This window comes from Homo sapiens, chromosome 16, assembly GCF_000001405.40.
Source record: "Homo sapiens chromosome 16, GRCh38.p14 Primary Assembly".
NCBI lineage: Eukaryota > Metazoa > Chordata > Mammalia > Primates > Hominidae > Homo > Homo sapiens.
This window is the reverse complement of record NC_000016.10, coordinates 31212269-31232034: the sequence shown is the minus strand read 5'-3', so window position 1 is coordinate 31232034 and position 19766 is coordinate 31212269. Positions and strand designations below refer to the sequence as shown.

Below are 19766 nucleotides of genomic sequence, written 5' to 3'. Positions count from 1 at the left end.
AGACGGGGTGGCGGCCGGGCAGAGGCTGCAATCTTGGCACTTTGGGAGGCCAAGGCAGGCGGCTGGGAGGTGGAGGTTGTAGCGAGCCGAGATCACGCCACTGCACTCCAGCCTGGGCACCATTGAGCACTGAGTGAACGAGACTCCGTCTGCAATCCCGGCACCTCGGGAGGCCGAGGCTGGCGGATCACTCGCGGTTAGGAGCTGGAGACCAGCCCGGCCAACACAGCGAAACCCCGTCTCCACCAAAAAACTACGAAAACCAGTCAGGCGAGGCGGCGCGCGCCTGCAATCGCAGGCACTCGGCAGGCTGAGGCAGGAGAATCAGGCCAGGGAGGTTGCAGTGAACCGAGATGGCAGCAGTACCGTCCAGCTTCCGCTCGGCATCAGAGGGAGACCGTGGAAAGAGAGGGAGAGGGAGACCATGGGGAGAGGGAGAGGGAGAGGGAGAGGGAGAGCGACATCTCTTGTTTTAGCTTGAAAATTCACACAGATTCTGTACTCTATGTTTGTTTTAATGGGAACGTGACATCTTGATTTTTACTTTTGGTTAAATTACCCAACTTTCTCACCACCACCAGTATCAAGAAGAAGAATATTGGCATAAAGTCGATACTCCAAGATGCATCATGCTTCTGTGGACCGGGGTCCTTTGTGGTCAGACTGTCATGCACCCAGGGGATGCGTGAACCCAGTATAAGAGGCAACCTAAGCCGGACGCGGTGGCTCACGCCTGTAATCCCAGCACTTTGGGAGGCCGAGGCGGGCGGATCACGAGGTCAGGAGATGGAGACCATCCTGGCAAACATGGTGAAACCCCGTCTCTACTAAAAATACAAAAAAATTAACCAGGCATGGTGGCGGGCGCCTGTAGTCCCAGCTACTTGGGAGGCTGAGGCAGGAGAATGGCGTGAACCCAGAGGGCGGAGGTTGCAGTGAGCCGAGATCACGCCACTGCACTCCAGCCTGGGAGACAGTGAGACTCCATCTCAAAAAAAAAACAAAACAAAACAAAAGAGGCAACCTAGTGGGGCTCTCGTTGTTGTGAGATCCAGGGTTGCGAAGATCAGTGAGATTCTGAATAGAGAGCTATTGACGCATAATAAGGTCTCAATAAATTTTCTTTTTTTTCCTTTGAGACAGAGTCTCATTCTGCAGTGGGATAATTTAGGAATCAGAGAGACCAAGAGGTTGAGGAGGATACTTATTATTTATTATTTAGTTAGGTGCACTGGCCCGGTCAGATTAACATCCAAAAAGACTGAGCCCTGAACAAAGAGTCCGGTTACCTTTTTTTTTTTTTTTTTTTGAGGCGGAGTCTCGCTCTGTCACCCAGGCTGGAGTGTAGTGGCGCCATCTCGGCTCACTGCAAGCTCCGCCTCCCGGGTTCAGGCCATTCTCCTGCCTCAGCCTCCCAAGTAGCTGGGACTACAGGTGCCTGCCACCACGCCCGGCTAATTTTTTGTATTTTTAGTAGAGACGGGGTTTCAACATGTTAACCAGGACGGTCTCGATCTCCTGACCTCATGATCCGCCTGCCTCAGCCTCCCAAAGTGCTGGGATTACAGGCGTGAGCCACCACGCCCGGCTCCGGTTACCTTTTAAGCATTTTGTGGGGCAGGGGGAGATCTGTGCAGGGGGAAGCATATTACAGAAGCAAGAAACAAAGACAGTTATTCAGTTGAGACATGCATTACATCATTTTTTACTTTTCAAGGAAAAACATGTTTTATGACTTGAGTTTATCTGCCTAGTGACCTTGCAGCTGCACAGCTAGAGAAACAGGGTCTTCACAATGCCTGGGAAAGGGAGAGAGATAAGGCTCACTATCCACAGAAAAACAGGCAGTTAATTTTTAAAGGACTTTAGCTCTTTCTCTTCCTCAGGGTGAATGGGGTTTTCTTACATACAACTGAGTTTTTGCTTACACATTCTTTAATTTCTTTTAATTCCTGTTTTAACTCTCTCACCCAGACTGGAATGCAGTGGCCCGATCTCAGCTCATCGGAACCTCTGCCTCCCAGGTTCAAGTGATTCTCCTGCCTCAGCCTCCTGAGTAGCTGGGATTGCAGGCATGCACCACCATGCCTGGCTAATTTTTGTATTTTTAGTAAAGATGGGGTTTCACCATGTTGACCAGACTGGTCTCGAACTCCTGACCTCAGGTGATTCACCCGCCTCAACCTCCAAAAGTGCTGGGATTACAGGCGTGAGCCACTGCACCTGGCCACGATAAATGTTCTTGCTTGCAGTTTTATCATGGCCTTGGCAGGTTCAAGTTTGCTATTATGCTACCTAAAGATGTCAGGAAACACAGGAAATGTCTTGGCAGCCAGTTTCTGGGGGTTTCCAGCGTTCCCGTGGAGAGGAGGGACTCACGGAGGGGACGCTGGTGCTTTAGAACACATGTGCTGGAGGAACTCCTTTCTCTGTTCACATTTCACCTTCCTACATCCCCAGGGAGACCCTGCCTGGGTCAGGCAGCCCCACCCGACAAGGACCACCTGGATTACGCAGCTTTTCCCACAAAGCCCACCTCACTCAGTCAGCCATGGGCCATTTCCTTCAATGCATGCAGCTCAAGCTGGGGCAACTATACGCAGAAAGAACCTGTGGCAGCTTCGAAAGAAAGTTTCCTGATATAATTCCAACAAAAGGCAGCATACATTACTCAGCTCTGCAGGGAGACTAAAGCCAGCCCGGGTCCCGGAAGGCACAGGAGTGTTTGGACGGTGGCTCTGGCTGCCGGAGACGCCACAAGAGCCTTCCCTCCCTCCCTCCCACACGAACAGCAGACTTGCGACACGGTCTGATGGCCCTCCCCATCTTCCCTCACATGGGCATCTTCCCTCCTAAAATCTCTGCCCATTTAATCCTATCTTGGCATCTGCTTCTCAGAGTACCCATTTCCTCAGAAGGAGGCTTTGGGTCTCAGATACCACCATCCCTCCAGACACCATGGCCTGTGTGTAGACAATTCAATGCCGTGGGCTACACATGGTGGAGGAGCTGCTGGGCGATCCAGAGAGGAGAGTAACTGATTCTTCCTGGAGGCCTAGAAGGTCAAGAGAGGACAGGAAATGGTGGTGTTTTGGGAGAGCCATGAAGGATAAGTGGGAGGGAACTGACATTCCTAAAAAAGAAGTGCAGGGGCCAGGCCCGACAGCTCATGCCTGTAATCCCAGCACTTTGGGAGGCTGAGGCGGGCAGATCATTTGAGGTCAGGAGTTCGAGATCAGCCTGGCCAACATGGCAAAACCCCGCCTCTACTAAAAATACAAATAAAAATGAAAAAACTAACCTGGCGTGGTGGTGGGTGCCTGTAATCCTAGCTACTGCGGAGGCTGAGGCAGGAGAATCACTTGAACCTGGGAGGCAGAGGTTGCAGTGAGCTGAGATAGCACCATTGCACTCCAGCCTGGGCGACAGAGCAAGACTGCATCTCAAAAAAAAAAAAAAAAAAAAGGAGGTGCAGAGACCCCAGCAGTTCAGTTCAGCATAGCCAGAGTGTAGACATGCACAGGGCGGTGATCCAAGGTGAGGCTGGACACAGCCCACAGCCCACAGTCTACAGGGTGAGGAGCAACACAGGAGACCACAGGTCCCTCCCTCACTGTGGCCAGTCCTTAGCCTGAGCAATGACAGAGAGTTCAGTGACAGTCAATGGACAGCAGCCTTTCCCCAACACTAGGATCCCAAAGAGCTTTTGTTATGTGGTTTTATCTTTCAATATTTGCCCTGTTAGATATTAAAACAGAGAACTTTTCTTTTTAAGATGAAGCTGGGGCTGGGCGCGGCGGTTCAAGCCTGTAATCCTAGTACTTTGGGAGGCCGAGTTGGGGGATCCCCTGAGGTCAGGAGTTCGAGACCAGGCTGGCCAACATAGTGAAGCCCCTGTCCCCACTAGAAATACAAAAATCAGCTAGGCGTAGTGTCACCTGCCTATAGTCCCAGCTACTCGGGAGGCTGAGGCAGGAGGATCACTTGAACCTGGGAGGCAGAGGTTGCAGTGAGCCAAGATCACACCACTGCACTCTAACCTGGGTGACACGGTGAGACTCCATCTCAAAAAATAATAATAAAATAAAAGATGAAGCTGGGCTGGGCTCAGTGGCTCACACCTGTAATCCCAACACTTTGGGAAGCCAAGATGGGAGGATCGCTTGAGGCCAGGAGCTCGAGACCAGCATGAGCAACATAGTGAGACCTCATCTCTACCAAAATACAAAAAATAAAAAATAGTCAGGCATGGTGATGGGTGCCTGCCATCCTATCTACTCAGGAGGCTGGAGTGGGAGGATCATGTGAGCCCAGGAGGTCAAGGCTGCAGTGAGCCACAATCACACCATTGCACTCCAGCCTGTGCGACAGAGCAAGACCTTGTCTCAAAAAAAAAAATTGTTTTTTAACTAAAAACAGATGAAGCTGGAAGGCCAGCCTGTAATCCCAGCACTTTGGGAGGCCAAAATGGGTGGATCACCTGAGGTCAGGAGTTCGAGACCAGCCTGGCGGGCACCTGTAATCCCAGCTACTCGGGAGGCTGAGGCAGGAGAATCCCTTGAACCTAGGAGGCGGAGGTTACGGTGATCACACCACTGCACTCCAGCCTGGGCGACAGAGCGAGACTCTGTCTCAAACAAAACAAACAAACCAACCAACAAAAAAAATGGCAGAACAGCTCAAATGCTAAGCCAAAGACTGGGGGCTTTATCCTGTAGGCAAGAGGGAGTTGTTGAAAGTTTTGAGCAACTGAGTCCCGTGACCACATTTGCATTTTTGGAAACATTACCAAGTCAGGATTAAAGGCTGGAGGGCAATTAGGAGGCCTTGCAGTAGGTCACATGTCTTTTCATGTGGATTTAATGAGGAAGGAGTCAGAATATAACAGTTTTATTAATGGTGTTGGATTTTACAACCAAATAATCCCTTAGCTATATTGTTTTATTTTCTAACATGAAAGAGCTTCTACCGTTAATCCTCTCTTCTGTCTCCTGAAGCCAGGGCTCCACAGGCCTTCCTCTGGGAGACACACCCAGGTGTGCCGCCTTCCCCTGCCAGATCCTCAGGCCTTTCTTACCCAACTCACAACTTCCCTTTCACCCTTAGTCCCATACCCACCATCTCCCGAGAAAACCTCCGCAATGGGCTGCCGGGGCCCCAGGCCCTTCCACCCATCCCGCCAGCACACCCTCCCCGTGAAAATGAGTGACCCCAGGCCAGCGTCTTCCCTCAGGAGAGAAGCCTGTCTGGATCCCCAAAGGCCTCTCCCTCCAGGGAAGAGGGACTCTCACTCTGGCCTCAGTGGTTACTCCAGAGCCCAAGAAATGCCCTGTGCGCTAAAACCAAAGAAGGTGTGAACCAGCAAGTAAGTGGGGAGCGGCCAGTTCTGGGACATCTAGTTGGGGGCCTTCTCTTCCCCATGAGCAGCAGGGACCAGTGTGACCTTGGCATCAGGCTCTTTCTCTTGGCTGGCTTCCTCAACGTTCAAGACGCTCGATAAACATATCCCAGAGGCAAAGCAAGTTAAGTCGAGGGTTGTTTATTCACCTAGAATCAGCTCCAGCCATTTTCCAATGTCTTCTTTTTGTTGTTTTTCTGGTTTTTGTTGCAACAGGGTCTCACTATGTTCCCCAGGCTGGTCTCAAACTCCTGGCCTCAAATGAGCCTCCTGCCTCAAACTCCCAAAGTGTTGGGTTTACAGGCATGAGTACCCAGCCCTTAAGTGTCTTTGCTTTGGTTTATGTTTGTTTGTTTCCTTCCACTCCTGGTGCAAACCTTACATGTTTTTGACTGGGGAAACATATTTTGGACCTATGCCTCTACACTGACAGTGAAGAGCCCAATGGGTTGTGCACTAGGTCAGGGCTTCCCGCAGCGTCAGCCCCTGTGGCCAGCAGCGTCACCTGGGAACCTGCTAGAAATGCACATTTTTGGCAGGGCGTGGTGGCTCACACCTGTAATCCCAGCACTTGGAAGGCCAAGGCAGGAGGATCACCTGAGGCCAAGAGTTCAAGATCAGCCTGGGCAATGTAACGAGACACCATTTCTACAAAAACTAAATTAAAAAAAAAAAAATGAGCATTTTCAGCCAGGTGCAGTGGCTCATGTCTGTAATCCCAGCACTATGGGAGGCCAAGGCGGGTGAATCACTTGAGGTCAGGAGTTCGAGACCAGCTTGGCCAACATAGTGAAACCCCTACTAAAAATAAAAATAAATAGCCAGGTGTGGTGGCGGGCGTCTGTAGTCCCAGCTACTTGGGAGGCTGAGGCATGAGAATTGCTTGAACCCTGGAGGCAGAGGTTGCAGTGAGCCGAGATGGCACCACTGCACTCTAGCCTTGAGTGACAGAGCAAGACTCTGTCTCAAAAAAAAAAAAAAAAAAAAAAAAAAGAAATAAAAAAAAGAAATGAGCATTTTTGACCTGTCCAACCTACTAAATCAGAAACTTAGCACCCTATGCTTTAACAAGTCATGGCTAAGGGCTTTAAAAAGGTGATTTTAATGCATGCCTAAGGTGGAGAACTAAGGAGAAGGCTTTTGGGTAAGGTGAATCTGGAGCGGGGGACCCAAGGCCTAAGGAGGAGGGGAGTGTGAGGCAAAAGGAGCCCCTTATCTACAGGTTCTCAAGCTCCTCCCATCAATCCCCCAACCTGGCCCTGTCCCTCCCTCGCTCAACCTTAGTTTCTTCCTGGAATTCTCAGGCCTCCTGGTTCCCAAATTCTGATTTCCCCACTGACCTGACTCCAGATCTCCCTACCCCACTGGGTCTTGTCCCCAGCGTCACTCCAACCCCTCACCAGCAGTCCCCAGGCCATGCCAACCCCCACACTTTTTTTTTTTTTTGAGACAGAGTCTCACTCTTGTCACCCAGGCTAGAGTGCAGTGCCGCAATGTCTGCTCACTGCAACCTCCACCTCCTGGGTTCAAGCAATTATCCTGCCTCAGCCTCCCAACTAGCTGGGATTACAGGCGTATGCCACCGCGCCCAGCTCATTTTTGTATTTTCAGTAGAGAGGAGTTTCACCATGTTGGCCAGGCTGGTCTTGAACTCCTGACCTCAGGTGATCCACCCGCCTCCGTCTCCCAAAGTGCTGGGATTACAGGCATGAGCCACCAAGCCAGTCCTACCCCACGCTTGTCAGTATTCTGGGAGATCCCCCAGTTCCCAGCCCCCTGGGCCCTGGCAACCCGCTCCCCACCCTTCTCCCGTCAGACCCGACCAAGGAGACCTAAGCTTCAACCCAGGCCCCCGCGCCCCTCCACTACCCGTCCGGCGGCTCAGGCCTCGGCGCCTTCGGGACCCACGAGCAGCAGCGGCTGGGCATTCTTGCCCTTGTCGTGCCAGCACACGTCGAAGAAGGGGTACACGGGCCTGGGCAGGCGCTCGTGGAAGGCAAAAAGCGGCACGAGCGCGTCGGCGTCGCTGGCATCGTAGAAGGAGAGGACGCCGTCGCCGAAGCTCAGGTAAAGGCCAATGCGCGTGGGCCGCCTCTCGGGGCTGCGCAGAGCGCGCGGCTCCTTGGCCTCCACGTGTGCCTCCAGGATCTTGCCCTCGCGCAGCCCCAGCAGCCACAGGCCCTGCGAGGGCACCGCGTGCAGGCGCCCGCGGCGGGGGGCCTCGGCCGCGATCACGCCCAGCGCCCAGCGCGGCTTGTCGCCAACATCCACCTCCCAGTAGTGCTCGCCCTCGGAGAGCTGCTGGTGCGCCACCACCGCCACCGCCTTGTCGAACTGGCGCGGGTCCTCCCCGGCCGGCGGCGCCTTCTGCTCCGAGCACTCCACGCGGCGGCCAGAGGAAGACACCACCAGGCTCGGGTGCGCAGAGCTCGGGTCAAAGGTCAGCTCCTCCAGCGCTGCCAGAGAGAACACGGTCAGAAAACCCTAGGTTTCTGCCTCGCTGGGGTCTTCTCCCAACCAATTGCAGGCCAGCTTTCTCTCCCCTAATCCTCTTGGCATCTCTGCTCACTGGGCTTGGGCCACAAGATCACACCTGGCTCAACTTCAGTTTGCCCAGCTGTGAGATGAGGCCATGATTGCTTCCCTCCAGGGTTGCAGGCAGGCCTGCATTTTCTTTTTGTTTTTGTTGTTGTTATTGTTGTTGTTTTTTGTTTTTGTTTTTTGTTTTTTTGAGGCGGGGTCTCACTCTGTCGCCCAGGCTGGAGCGCAGGTGCAACCTAGGCTCACTGCAACTTCCAACTCCCAGGCTCAAGCAATCCTCCCATCTCCCATCTCCCAAGTAGCTGGGACTACAGCCACGTGCCACCACACCTGGCTAATTTTTTTAAGTTTTTGTAGAGACAGGTGTTCTCACTATGTTGCCCAGGCTGGTCTCCAACTCCTGGGCTCAAGTGATCCTCCCACCTCGGCCTCCCAAAGTTCTGGGATTACAAGCGTGAGCCACCGAGCCTGGCCAACAGGACTAAATTGATACAAGGCATGGGACTCACCATCTGAGGCCCAGACAAGGCCCAAGGCCCAAGGTCAAGGAGCCTGATCTTCACATCAGCCTAGACCCAGTCTCTGAGCCTTAGTTTTATCTTGAATAAAATGAGGCTGTCTGCATTCCCACCTGCGCTGAGGCAGGAAGGGCTGCCCCAGCAATGTGTATGTCCCAGAGCTCTGTAACCTGCATCATCCAGCTCTTGGGGGGAGGAACTGAGCCCTTGGGCCTCCCCAGCCACAGGCCGCCAGAGTCACTCTCTGACCCAGGCCAGTCCCCAGGGTTCCAGGAGCTCTGCAGAGCCTCAGTCCCCAATTGGCAGGATTTATCATCTCCACCGTCCAGAGAGGGGCAGAGACTGACCAAGGATCACACAGCAAGTCAGTGGCTCAGACCTAGGCCCCAGCGTCCCGTGCCACCAACAGCAGCAGCATTTTCATGTCAGTCACCCACTGCAAACCCCATGCTCTCAAAGGCCCTCCTCCCAACACAGGTTAGAGGACTGCAGCGGCAGTCCAGAGGCAAAGGGGCAATGGGTACCTCCTTCAGTGGCCTCCCCAGTTGGGACTGGGAGGCCTCTCCAGGGTGGCTAGGGCCTCCCATCAACTGCCTGGTCACACACAAACCTGAGCCAGTCCCTCCCGGTACCTGGCATCAGAGCCCGGAACATCTTCCTCCACACCTGGAATTTGAAGTCATCTGAGATAATTGGCAGCTGGATGTCCAGACGGGCGGGTGGGGGAGACTCTGCCAGGATCTTCTGCAGCCTGGGGGTGGGGAGGGGAAGGGGAGGCATGTGTGAGGGGGGAGGACAAGGGCTGGGGGGATTCCAGGATCTCCCCACATCGCACCCCTGCTTAAAACTCTTCCTTTGGAGTTTTGGTTTGGGAAGATGAGAAAATTCTGGAGATAAACACTGGTGATGGTTGTACAATGTGAATGTACTTAGCACCACTGAATTTAAATGCACACTTAAAAATGCTTAAAATGAGCGAGGTAGAGTGTAGTCCCAGCTGCTCAGGGAGGCTGACTCAGGAGGCTCACTGGAGCTCAGAAATTTGAGTCCAGTCTGGGCAACATAGCAAGATCCTGTCTAAAAAAAAAAAAAAAAGAAGAAGAAGAAGCTGAAAATTGTCAATTTTATGTTACATGTATTATTTTACCACTGTTTATTTGGTTTTGGTCTTTTTTTTTTTTTTTTGAGATTGAGTCTGGCTCTATCACCCAGGCTGGGGTGTAGTGGCATGATCTTGGCTCACTGCAGCCTCTGCCTCCCCAGTTCAAGCAATTCTCCTGCCTCAGCCAACCAAGTAGCTGGGATTATAGGCGCCTACCACCATGCCTGGCTAATTTTTGTGTTTTTAGTAGAGGTGAGGTTTTGCCATGTTGGCCAGGCTAGTCTCGAACTGCTGACCTCAGGTGATCTGCCCGCCTCAGCCTCCCAAAGTGCTTGGATGACAGGCGTGAGCCACTGCACCCGGCCCAACTACATTTTCTTTTAATCCTTCTGTTGGGATAAGGTCCAAGCCTCTCAGCTTCGCCAGTGTGCACACACCTACTACCGCAGCTTCCTCTTCCCTCCCACTCGCCAGCCCTCTCGCTGGCTGTCCCCTCTCCCAGCAATGCCATTCTCCCAGCAACACCCTTCTCCCAGCAATGCCCTTCTCCCAGCAACACCCTTCTGCCAGCAACACCCTTCTCCCAGCAACGCCCTTTTCCCTGCAATGCCCTTCTCCCCACAATGCCCTTCTCTCTGCAATGCCCTTCTTCTCCCAGCAATACCCTTCTCCCCGCAATGCCCTTCTCCCAGCAATGCCCTTCTCCCAGCAATGCCCTTCTCCCCACAGTGCGCTTCTTCTCCCAGCAATGCCTTTCTCCCCGCAATGCCCTTCTCCCCACAATGCCCTTCTTCTCCCAGCAATGCCCTTCTCCTAGCAATGCCCTTCTTCTCCCAGCAATGCCCTTCTCCCAGCAATGCCCTTCTCCCAATGCCCTTCTCCCCAGCAATGCCCTTCTCCCCGCAGTGCCCTTCTCCCCACAATGCCCTTCTCCCCACAATGCCCTTCTCCCTGCAATGCCCTTCTCCCCATAATGCCCTTCTCCCAGCAATGCCCTTCTTCTCCCAGCAATGTCCTTCTTCTCCCAGAAATGCCCTTCTCCCAGCAATGCCCTTCTCCCAGCAGTGCCCTTCTCCCCGCAATGCCCTTCTCCCCATAATGCCCTTCTCCCAGCAATGCCCTTCTTTTCCCAGCAATGTTCTTCTCCCAGCAATACCCTTCTTCTCTCAGCAATGCCCTTCTCCCCGCAATGCCTTTCTCCTCACAATGCCCTTCTTCTCCCAACGCTTTGCCTAGCCAGCTCCTGTTCATCCCTCCAGGCCCCAACTCAAACATTCACTCCATCCCTGGCCACCTCTTTCCCTCAACGGCCACACTGAGCACACAGTGACGCCTGTGTCCCCACCCACATGTGTCTCACGGCACCAATCTAGGAGGTCCCTGAGTGAAAGGATCCTTCCAGATCATTTCTGTCTACAACCTTGTGTTCAGGCAGGGGTGGGGCAGCAGACTGAATTGCGGGTGTGCAGGCACAATAGTGAGTGGAGAGTGAGCCGGCTGGTGTCCCTAGAAGACTGGGACAAGTCGGGCAAAGGGACAGGGCCAGGTTGCTCTCACCTGCTGGTCACCAGGCAGTATTTCTGGAGAGAGAGAAAAAGAGAATGGTGGTGAAGCCGATGGTGGGGACACTGGAAACTTTTGAGGATGGGGTAGACAACTAGGAATGCTGAGTGCAACGTCAGAAAGAATCAGAAAAGCTAAAAGAGGCCAGACGAGGTGGCTCATGCCTGTAATCTCAACACTTTGGGAGGCCAAGGTGTGTGGATTGCTTGAGGCCAGGAGTTCGAGACCAGCCTGGCCAACATGGTGAAACCCCATCTCTACTAAAAATACAAAAAAAATAGCTGGGCATGGTGGCAGGCACCTGTAATCCCAGCTACTTGGGAGGCTGAGCCACGAAAATCACTTGAACCCGGGAGAAGGAGGTTTCAGTGAGCCGAAGTCATGCCACTGCACTCCAGCCTGGGCAACAGAGCAAAGCCCTGTCTCAAAAAAAAAAAAAAAAAAAAAAAAAAAAAACGCAAAAGAGACCTAGAACTCAAGGCCACCCCTACCCCTTCACTTTTATGTGGATTACAAAAAGGTATCTTTGCCTCCAAGAAACTCTGATTCCACCTGTTAGAAAACTGTCCTAATAGGCCGGGTGCGGTGACTCATGCCTGTAATCCCAGCACTTTGGGAGGCCAAGGCAGGCAGATTGTTTGAGCCCAGGCATTTGAGACCAGTCTGGGCAACATAATGAGACCCCCATCTCTACTAAAAATACAAAAACTAGCCAGGTAAGCGCCTGTAGTCCCAGCTATGGGAGGCTGAGATTGGAGGATTGCTTGAGCCTACAAGGCTGCAGTGAGCTATGATCATGCCACTGCACTCCAGCCTGGGTGACAGAGTGAGACCCTGCCTTTAAAAAAAAGACCAGGCGCGGTGGCTCACGCCTGTAATCCCAGCACTTTGGGAGGCTAAGGCAGGTGGATCACAAGGTCAGGAGATCAAGACCATCCTGGCTAACACGGTGAAACCCTGTCTCTACTGAAAAATAGAAAAAATTAGCCAGGCGTGGTGGCGGGTGCCTGTAGTCCCAGCTACTCGGGAGGCTGAGGCAGGAGAATAGCATGAACCCAGGAGGCGGAGCTTGCAGTGAGCCAAGATCCTGCCACTGCACTCCAGCCTGGGTGACAGAGTAAGACTCCATCTCAAAAAATAAAAAATAAAAATAAGAGTGTCCTAATAAATATATAAACCTACAATGTCTATGATATGAATAGTGCTCACTTAATACAATGTCCTTATGCAGTGCTCAACCTAAACAACCATATAGCAGTCCTGAGGCCTGCCCCTCCCGGCTGTGTGCTGCTGGCTTATCCCTGCCCCTCTCTGGGCCTATCTGACAATGGGATGAGGTCTCTGGGCCCTGAGCAGGGGGCTGAGGCAGGGAGGGGGGTCACCCAGTGCTCACCATGAGGAACTCAGTCTGCGGCTTGTCCGCCACCTCCTCCAGGACCTTCTCCATCTGCCGCAGCTGCTCCAGGTAAGAGTTCAGGCTCCCCAGCTCCCGGCGCAAGGCGACCCCTGCCTCACCCCGTACACGCTCTGCCTCGCGGTCCAAGGAGCCCTCCAGTGCAGCCAGGAACACCCGCATCTTGCCCAGCTGCTCCCCCACGGCCCCCCGGAACTGACGCACTGTCTCCTGCAGGGATGGGGCAGTGATTGAAGGGATAAAGACTCTTGGCTGGAGACCCCTAGCCTGGCCCCCAGCCCTCAGACATGGCCCTGTGAAGTCCTCACCTCCACCTCCACCAGCTGATGCTCCAGCACAGCCACACTCTTCTCCTTGCGCATGCATGCCTCCTGCAGCTGCAGTTTCTGCTGTGGCAGCTGTGTCTGGGGGTCGAGGCATGGAGAAGTGATGGGGATGCCACCCACCCAAAACCCACACCTCCCATCCTAAACCTGCCCTCTGTGGCTCAACCTCAATGCCAGCTCCTCCTCCAGCCATCTTCCCATCCCCAAACCCACTTACATGCCTCCCAGCCCCAGCCAGTGCTACTCCTGAGGTCCGAATGCTTCCCCTGCCCCTTGTCTATTTTGGTGCGGTTTTTTATTTATTTATTTTGGTGTTTTGTTTTGAGACAGGGTCTCACACTGTTGCCCTGGCTGGAGCAGTGGCATGATCACAGTTAACTACAGCTTCAACTTCCCAGGCTTAATTGACCCTCTCACTTCAGTCTCCCAAGTAGCTGGAACTATAGGCACACACCACCGTGCCCAGCAAATTTTCTGATTTTTTTTTTTTTGAGTTGGAGTCTCGCTCTGTCACCCAGGATGCAGTGCAGTGGCACAATCTCAGCTCACTGCAACCTCCACCTCCTGGGTTCAAGCGATTCTCCTGCCTCAGCCTCCCAAGTAGCTGGGACTAATTTTGGTGCACCACCACGCCTGGCTAATTTTGGTATTTTTAGTAGAGACAGGGTTTCACCATGTTGGCCAGGCTGGTCTCAAACTTCTGACCTCAGGTGATCCACCCACGTCAGCCTCCCGAAGTGCTGGGATTAGACATGAGCCACCACTCCTGGCCATGATTTTTTAAAATATTTTTGTAGAGACAATCTCACTATATTGCCCAGACTGGTCTCCAACTCCTGGCCTCAAGCAATCCTCCCACCTCAGCCTCCCAGCATGCTGGGATTACAGGCATGAACCGCCACACCCCCAGCCCCTTGTCTGTTTTGTTGACCCCTCCCTGGCCTTGCCTTCCCTGATCCCCTCTGCTCAGCAGTCAGCCCCATAGCACAGGTCTTTGCGAGGATGACAAACATCAGTGTGGTTTGGTCTCTCCCACCAGACAGGCAGGCACAGAGCTTGGCACACAACAGACCTCAGGGGGTACATGAAGGATATATGAAAGAAGAAAGGCAACCTACCCCTACTCCTGGGCTTCCTCTCTTACTTAAAAGCAGAACATCAGCCTCAGTCAGCCTGTCAGCCTGACCACCAAGTCAGCCTGCCTGTACACACATGGGCTTGGAGTAGGGGGCAGGAAATTTAATTAAAATGTCCCCTGCTGGCCGGGCGTGGTGGCTCACACCTGTAATCCCAGCACTTTGGGAGGCCAGGGCGGGTGGATCACGAGGTCAGGAGTTCAAGGCCAGCCAGACCAAGATAGTGAAACCCCATTTCTACTAAAAATACAAAAATTACCTGGGCGCTGTGGCAAGTGCCTGTAATCCCAGCTACTCGGGAGGCTGAGGCAGGAGAATCACTTGAACCAGGGAGGCGGAGGTTGCAGTGAGCCAAGAATGTGCCACTGCACTCTAGCCTGGGCGACAGAGCAAGACTGCATTTCAAAAAAAAAAAAAAAAATGTCCCCTGCACAGACCAACCATTCTGTGGTCTAGATCTTACCCAAGACCTCAAATGCAAATATGCAAATATAGGAGAGCTCCCAATACTCCTGCCAAAGCCATTTTTTTTTTTTTTTTTTTTTTTTTTGGAGACAGGATTGCCTAGGCTGGAGTGCAGTGGCAGAATCACAACTCGAACTCCTAGGCTCAAGCAATCCTTTTGCTTCAGCCTCCCGAGTAGCTGGCACTACAAGCATGAGCAACCATGCCAGGCTACAAAGCCACTTCTTTGCTGGGAGGTGCCTGACCATGGAATCAGTTCCATTCCTGCCTCAATGACTTGCAACCTGTTTCCTCCTCTGCAGATTGGGAACAGCAATCCCCACCTCAACAATTTGGCGCCCCCACTCTCCCAGGGGAAACTGGGGGACCCTCTAGGCGGTGTTTGCAGAGTCCCCTCCCAGCAGGAGCCACAGGGTTGAATAGGAGCTGCCAGATCAGTCTCCTTCCCGGGACATCCCCGGGGGCGGCAGCTCCACCTGCTGCAGGAAAGGTAGGACCTGATGGCTCCAGGCCCTCGGAGGCTCAGAGGCGCAGGGCTGAGCCATGGGAACGAAGCGCGAGGCCATCCTGAAGGTGCTGGAGAACCTGACACCGGAGGAGCTCAAGAAGTTCAAGATGAAGCTGGGGACGGTGCCGCTGCGCGAGGGCTTTGAGCGCATCCCGCGGGGCGCGCTCGGGCAGCTAGATATCGTGGACCTCACCGACAAGCTGGTCGCCTCCTACTACGAGGACTACGCAGCCGAGCTCGTCGTGGCCGTGCTGCGCGACATGCGCATGTTGGAGGAGGCCGCACGGCTGCAGCGGGCTGCGTGAGGGCCACTCTGAGCTGGTACGTGATCTCGGGACCCAACCCCGCTTCCTCGCCAAGGACCCACGCGTCAGGTCCCGCCCAGAGCCTTCCTGTTCCCCTCCTTCAGGGTCCCTCCTGGGGTCCTCCCTCAGACCTCCGGCCAGCCCCTCCCGGGGGCGAAGGGCTGGGCTGCCGCGAACCCTGGTGGGCTGCATCTCGCCCCACTGCCCCCTTCCAGGCTCCTGGGCTGCCTGGGCCCTGTTCCGTTTCATGGGTTCTGTGCTTTCTTCGCAGATAAAGACGGGCAAGGTTGGGCGAGGTTGGGTTTTTTTTGTTTGTTTGTTTTTTGTTTTTTTTTTAGCGGCAGCAAGATTTATTGCAAAGAGCAAAAGAACAAAGCTTCCACAGCATGGAAGGGGATCCGAGCGGGTTGCCCTGAGGTTGGGGTCTTAAGCACAGGTGTGCTGGGATGGGAGGGGTCCCGGGAGGAGGCTCCTGCCCTGAGCTAGGAGACCACCAGCTAGGACTGGGCTGAACTGGGCCAGGCAGGACTGAGAGGCTGGGTCCCTGGGAAGTCTGGGGGCCTCGAATACCAACGAAAGGACGGTGGTCTACCCCTTCTAGGAGGCGGGTCAAGGCAAAAGGAGTAATGCAACGCCTGTGAAGCCAGCCCCACGCGCGCACCAGTCGCGTAAGACAACAGCAGTGTCTCCACCTCGGGGACCAAGGACGCCTCCGTGCCTCCAGACCCCGCCTCCTCCAGCCCCTGCACCTGTCATTTATTCTTCCACTGCCCAATAAATATTCATGGCAGACTTTACTGGGGCTGCGCGCACACGTGCCCGCCGGTAGCTATACGTGTGTGCTTTTGCCACACGGATGACACGCACCAGCCAGTGTGCGTTCGTCTCTATTTGCCTCTGTCTGGGTGTCTCTGCTGGGTACTTCGGGACGCGCACAACTGCGTGTGGGCTCCCAAGGCTTTCGGGACTTCCAGCTCCACCCAGAAAAACATCCTGGACGGGGCTCTCGGTGCCACCCTGGGCCCGCACACATAAGTGCAGATCCCGGCTGCCTAGCCCTTACAGTCTCCCTTCTGGTGAGGCCCCGCCTGGGGACCGTCAGGCCAGCCCAAGTTCCGCAGCTTCAGGGGTGCGTGGGCCTCCGCTGAGCACAAGGGGACAACCCTGCCCCGGCCGCCTGGCTCGGTCCCGAACGCCGCGCCTCCAGTCCAAAGTGGGCCAGCGCCGAGCAGGGAGCCAGCCCGAACGGCCCACCGGGTGCAGGAATGCGAGCGTGGGCCGCAGGGGCTGGTCAGTCCCTGCTCCGCCTGGCTCCGCCCGGCCCATCAGACCCGCCCTGGGGCTCCGCCCGCCCATCTCCAGTTTCCTCTAGGGACTAAGGCCGGGAAACCTACGTTTGCTCAGCGCCCTTATCGCCAGGCTCCATCCCTGCGCGGCTTTCCTCTGCCAGCCCCGCCTTAAGCTCCTCAGACCCTCTTTCCTGGCTGCTTCGCCCCGCCCCCGCCCCCCGCAACTCCAGGAGCTCGTGAGCCTCTCTAGAGACTCAGAATCCAAATCACTGCAGCGACCTCCCCATCGGCCCCGTGCCACCGAACAGCCCCTCCGACCACGATGCGCGCGGATCCCGCACCTTGAGGCGTGCGTGGGCCTCGGCGGCAGGCAGGAGGCGATGACCGCGGTGCGAGCCGAGTGAGGCGCACACTCCGCACACCAGCGCGCGGTCCTGCTCGCAGTAGATGCTCAGCGGGTCCAGGTGCTCCTCGCAGTGGCCCTGCGGCACCTGGGCCAGCCCCTCCACCAGGCGCGCCAGCTGCAGGTTGGTGCTGAGTGCCTGCGGCCGCGTGGGGGCCTGGCAGCAGGGGCAGAGAACGGTGCCATCCGCCGCCGGCTCCCCGGCCACGCGGCCTAGGCAGGCGCGGCAGAAACTGTGGCCGCACTCGGCTGTCACGGGCGCGTCGAACAGCTGCAGGCACAGCGGGCAGGACAGCTCCTGGTGCAGGAGGCCGGGCGCAGCCGACATGGCGGGCCTGGGTGGAGGAGGAGTAGGTTAGGGGGACCCCGCGGCGCCGCGCTCCCGGCCCAGCCCTGGCCCAGCCCTAGCCCAGGCCGGGCCCGCCGCCCCGCAGGGAGAAGCCCCAGCCTGTAAAGACCTCACATCCTACACTGGATGGGACTCTGACGGCCAAGGGGAAAGAGGAACTCGGTCTCAGGCCCAAAAGCAGCCTCCACTGCAATTCTCAGCTCCAACCCCAAAAATATGCCCTATCAGTCAACCCCAGTTCCTGAACACAAGCCCAGATTCTAGCCCACTGTCCTTGCCCTCGCCTTAGCCCCAGGCCTCAGCCTCTGACCTTAGTCCCGGACCCAAATTCTCCAGAGCCCCCACTCCGAGACTCCCCTCCCTCACTTTACCAAGATACCCAGACCTCCCCTCCCCCTCTCTCCAGCCCACGGGACTCACAGGTCTGGTTGGAGATCTTAGGCTGAAAGAGTCTCGAAGGAGGACCGGTCAGGGTTGAGCTTAGCTGGACTGGGGTCAGGGCTGGGTCCAAGGATCTGAGACAAGCAGCAGGCTCCAAGCAAGGACAGGGACTCACAGGGGCAGCTGGCAGTGGACACCACGCGTGATGGGCACACAGTGCTCAGCGGAAGACCCTCCCAGACTGAGCCATGGCCCCAGGACTATATTTAGCTGCCCTGCCCAATCCCTCCCATCACTTCCGGAAACCGTTCTAAAAGTGAGGGCTGAGTAGTCCCTGGGCACACATCACATGACAGGGCCACCTGTCTTGGCCCATCCACTGTTCTCTCCCCGGCCTGCCTGGAGTCAGAGCTCAGAGCCAGCGGGGAGCCAGGGCCTTTCACACCACAGAAAAGACAGAAAATTGAAGGGGGTCTGCCCTTTCTCCCCCCACTCCCACCTCCACACTCTCCAGCTCCTTCCTCCTTGCTGGCAGCCCCTCCCCAGCCTGTCACCCACTCATTCCCCAAGTTTATGGCTGACCAAGGTCACCCTGGCAGGATTACCCCACCTGCAGGAGGGCAGGACCTCACCCCACCCTGAAATGTTTTCTTCCTCCAGAGCTGAGGGGAGGGTCTTTTCCACTTTGGTCTCTCTAGTACACCCAGGACAAGCCTGGGACAAAGTAGGCCTCTCTAAATGCTTGGAGAATGAATGATAGAGAGACATTGAACAAATGAATGAACTGAATCCAGAGCCTGCAGCCCAGAACTCAATTCTGCCCTGGTTCCTGTATGTGTATCTTTCAAATCTCAGCTGAAATTTCATTTAAGTGGCGCTGGGATAACTGGCTAGCCTTATGCAAGAGAATGAAACTGGACCCCTACCTTTCACCATATAAAAAAAATTAACTCAAGATGGGTTAAAGATTTAAATGTAAGACTTCAAACCATAAAAATCATAGAAGAAACCGCAGGAGAAATACTATTCTGGATATCAGCCTTGGTAAAGAATTCTTGACTAAGTCCTCAAAAGCAACAAAAACAAAAATTGTTAAGTGGGACCTCATTAAACTAAAGAGCTTCTGCACAGCAAAAGCAAAAGCAACTATCAACAGACAGACAACTGAAGAATGGAAGAAAGGCCAGGCGCGGTGGCTCACGCCTGTAATCCCAGCACTCTTGGGAGGCCAAGGCGGGTGGATCATGAGGTCAGGAGATCGAGACCACAGTGAAACCCCGTCTCTACTAAAAATACAAAAAATTAGCCGGGCGCAGTGGCGGGCACCTGTAATCCCAGCTACTCAGGAGGCTGAGGCAGGAGAATGGTGTGAACCCGGGAGACGGAGCTTGCAGTGAGCCGAGATCGCGCCACTGCACTCCAGCCTGGGGTACAGAGTGAGACTCCGTCTCAAAAAAAAAGAATGGAAGAAAATATTCACAAACTATGCATCCAACAAAGATCTACTATCCAGAATATATAAAGAAACTAAACATTTCAACAAGCAGAAAACAACCCCATTAAAAAGTTGGCAAGGGCCAGGCACAATGGCTCACACCTGTAATCCCAGCACTTTGGGGGGCCCAGGCGGGTGGATCACTTGAGGTCAGGAGTTTGAGACCAGCCTGGCCAACATGGTTAAACTTCGTCTCTATGAAACATACAAAACTCAGCCGGGTGTGGTGGCAGGTACCTGTAATCCCAGCTACTTGGGAGGCTGAGGCAGGAGAATCGCTTGAACCCGGGAGGCAGAGGTTGCAGTGAACCGAGATCGCACCACTGGACTCCAGCCTGGGTGACAAGAGCGAAACTCCAACTCAAAAAAAATAGCTGGGCATGGTGAAGAACACCTGTAGTCCCAGCTGCTCGGGAGGCTGAGATGGGAGGATTGCTTGAACCTGGGAAGCAGAGGTTGCAGTGAGCCAAGATCATGCCATTGCACTCCAGCATGGGCAACAAGAGCAAAACTCCGTCTCAAAAAAAACAATAAATATTAAAAAAAAGAAAAGAAAGAAATTTCATCTAGAAT

The 19766-nt window shown here is 54.6% G+C and overlaps 2 protein-coding genes across 2 annotated transcripts, besides 3 other annotated features; one reads left to right on the top strand and one right to left on the bottom strand.

The window, feature by feature from the left end:
* Window positions 1–497: 497 nt before the first annotated feature.
* Window positions 498–17916, bottom strand: TRIM72 (tripartite motif containing 72). The gene is made up of 7 exons (NM_001008274.4): window positions 17738–17916; window positions 16907–17303; window positions 12845–12940; window positions 12516–12746; window positions 11117–11139; window positions 9090–9208; window positions 498–7854 (listed from the first exon to the last, which is right to left on the bottom strand). The coding sequence occupies exons 2-7, from the start codon at window positions 17294–17296 to the stop codon at window positions 7280–7282; spliced, it is 1434 nt and encodes a 477-aa protein (NP_001008275.2). The 5' UTR covers window positions 17297–17303; window positions 17738–17916; the 3' UTR covers window positions 498–7279.
* Window positions 14765–15679: an enhancer, noted in NCBI's record as "H3K4me1 hESC enhancer chr16:31227677-31228591 (GRCh37/hg19 assembly coordinates)". NCBI's record gives its function as "activates a minimal SCP1, AML or CMV promoter by ChIP-STARR-seq in primed H9 embryonic stem cells {active_cell/tissue: H9 hESC(primed)}" and the evidence as "EXISTENCE:reporter gene assay evidence [ECO:0000049][PMID:30033119]".
* PYDC1 (pyrin domain containing 1) lies at window positions 14900–16073 on the top strand. Its single transcript, NM_152901.4, has 2 exons — window positions 14900–15292; window positions 15878–16073. Exon 1 carries the CDS (start codon window positions 15007–15009, stop codon window positions 15274–15276), a length of 270 nt encoding a protein of 89 aa, NP_690865.1. The 5' UTR covers window positions 14900–15006; the 3' UTR covers window positions 15277–15292; window positions 15878–16073.
* Window positions 16595–17509: an enhancer, noted in NCBI's record as "H3K4me1 hESC enhancer chr16:31225847-31226761 (GRCh37/hg19 assembly coordinates)". NCBI's record gives its function as "activates a minimal SCP1, AML or CMV promoter by ChIP-STARR-seq in naive H9 embryonic stem cells {active_cell/tissue: H9 hESC(naive)}" and the evidence as "EXISTENCE:reporter gene assay evidence [ECO:0000049][PMID:30033119]".
* Window positions 17510–18425: an enhancer, noted in NCBI's record as "H3K4me1 hESC enhancer chr16:31224931-31225846 (GRCh37/hg19 assembly coordinates)". NCBI's record gives its function as "activates a minimal SCP1, AML or CMV promoter by ChIP-STARR-seq in naive H9 embryonic stem cells {active_cell/tissue: H9 hESC(naive)}" and the evidence as "EXISTENCE:reporter gene assay evidence [ECO:0000049][PMID:30033119]".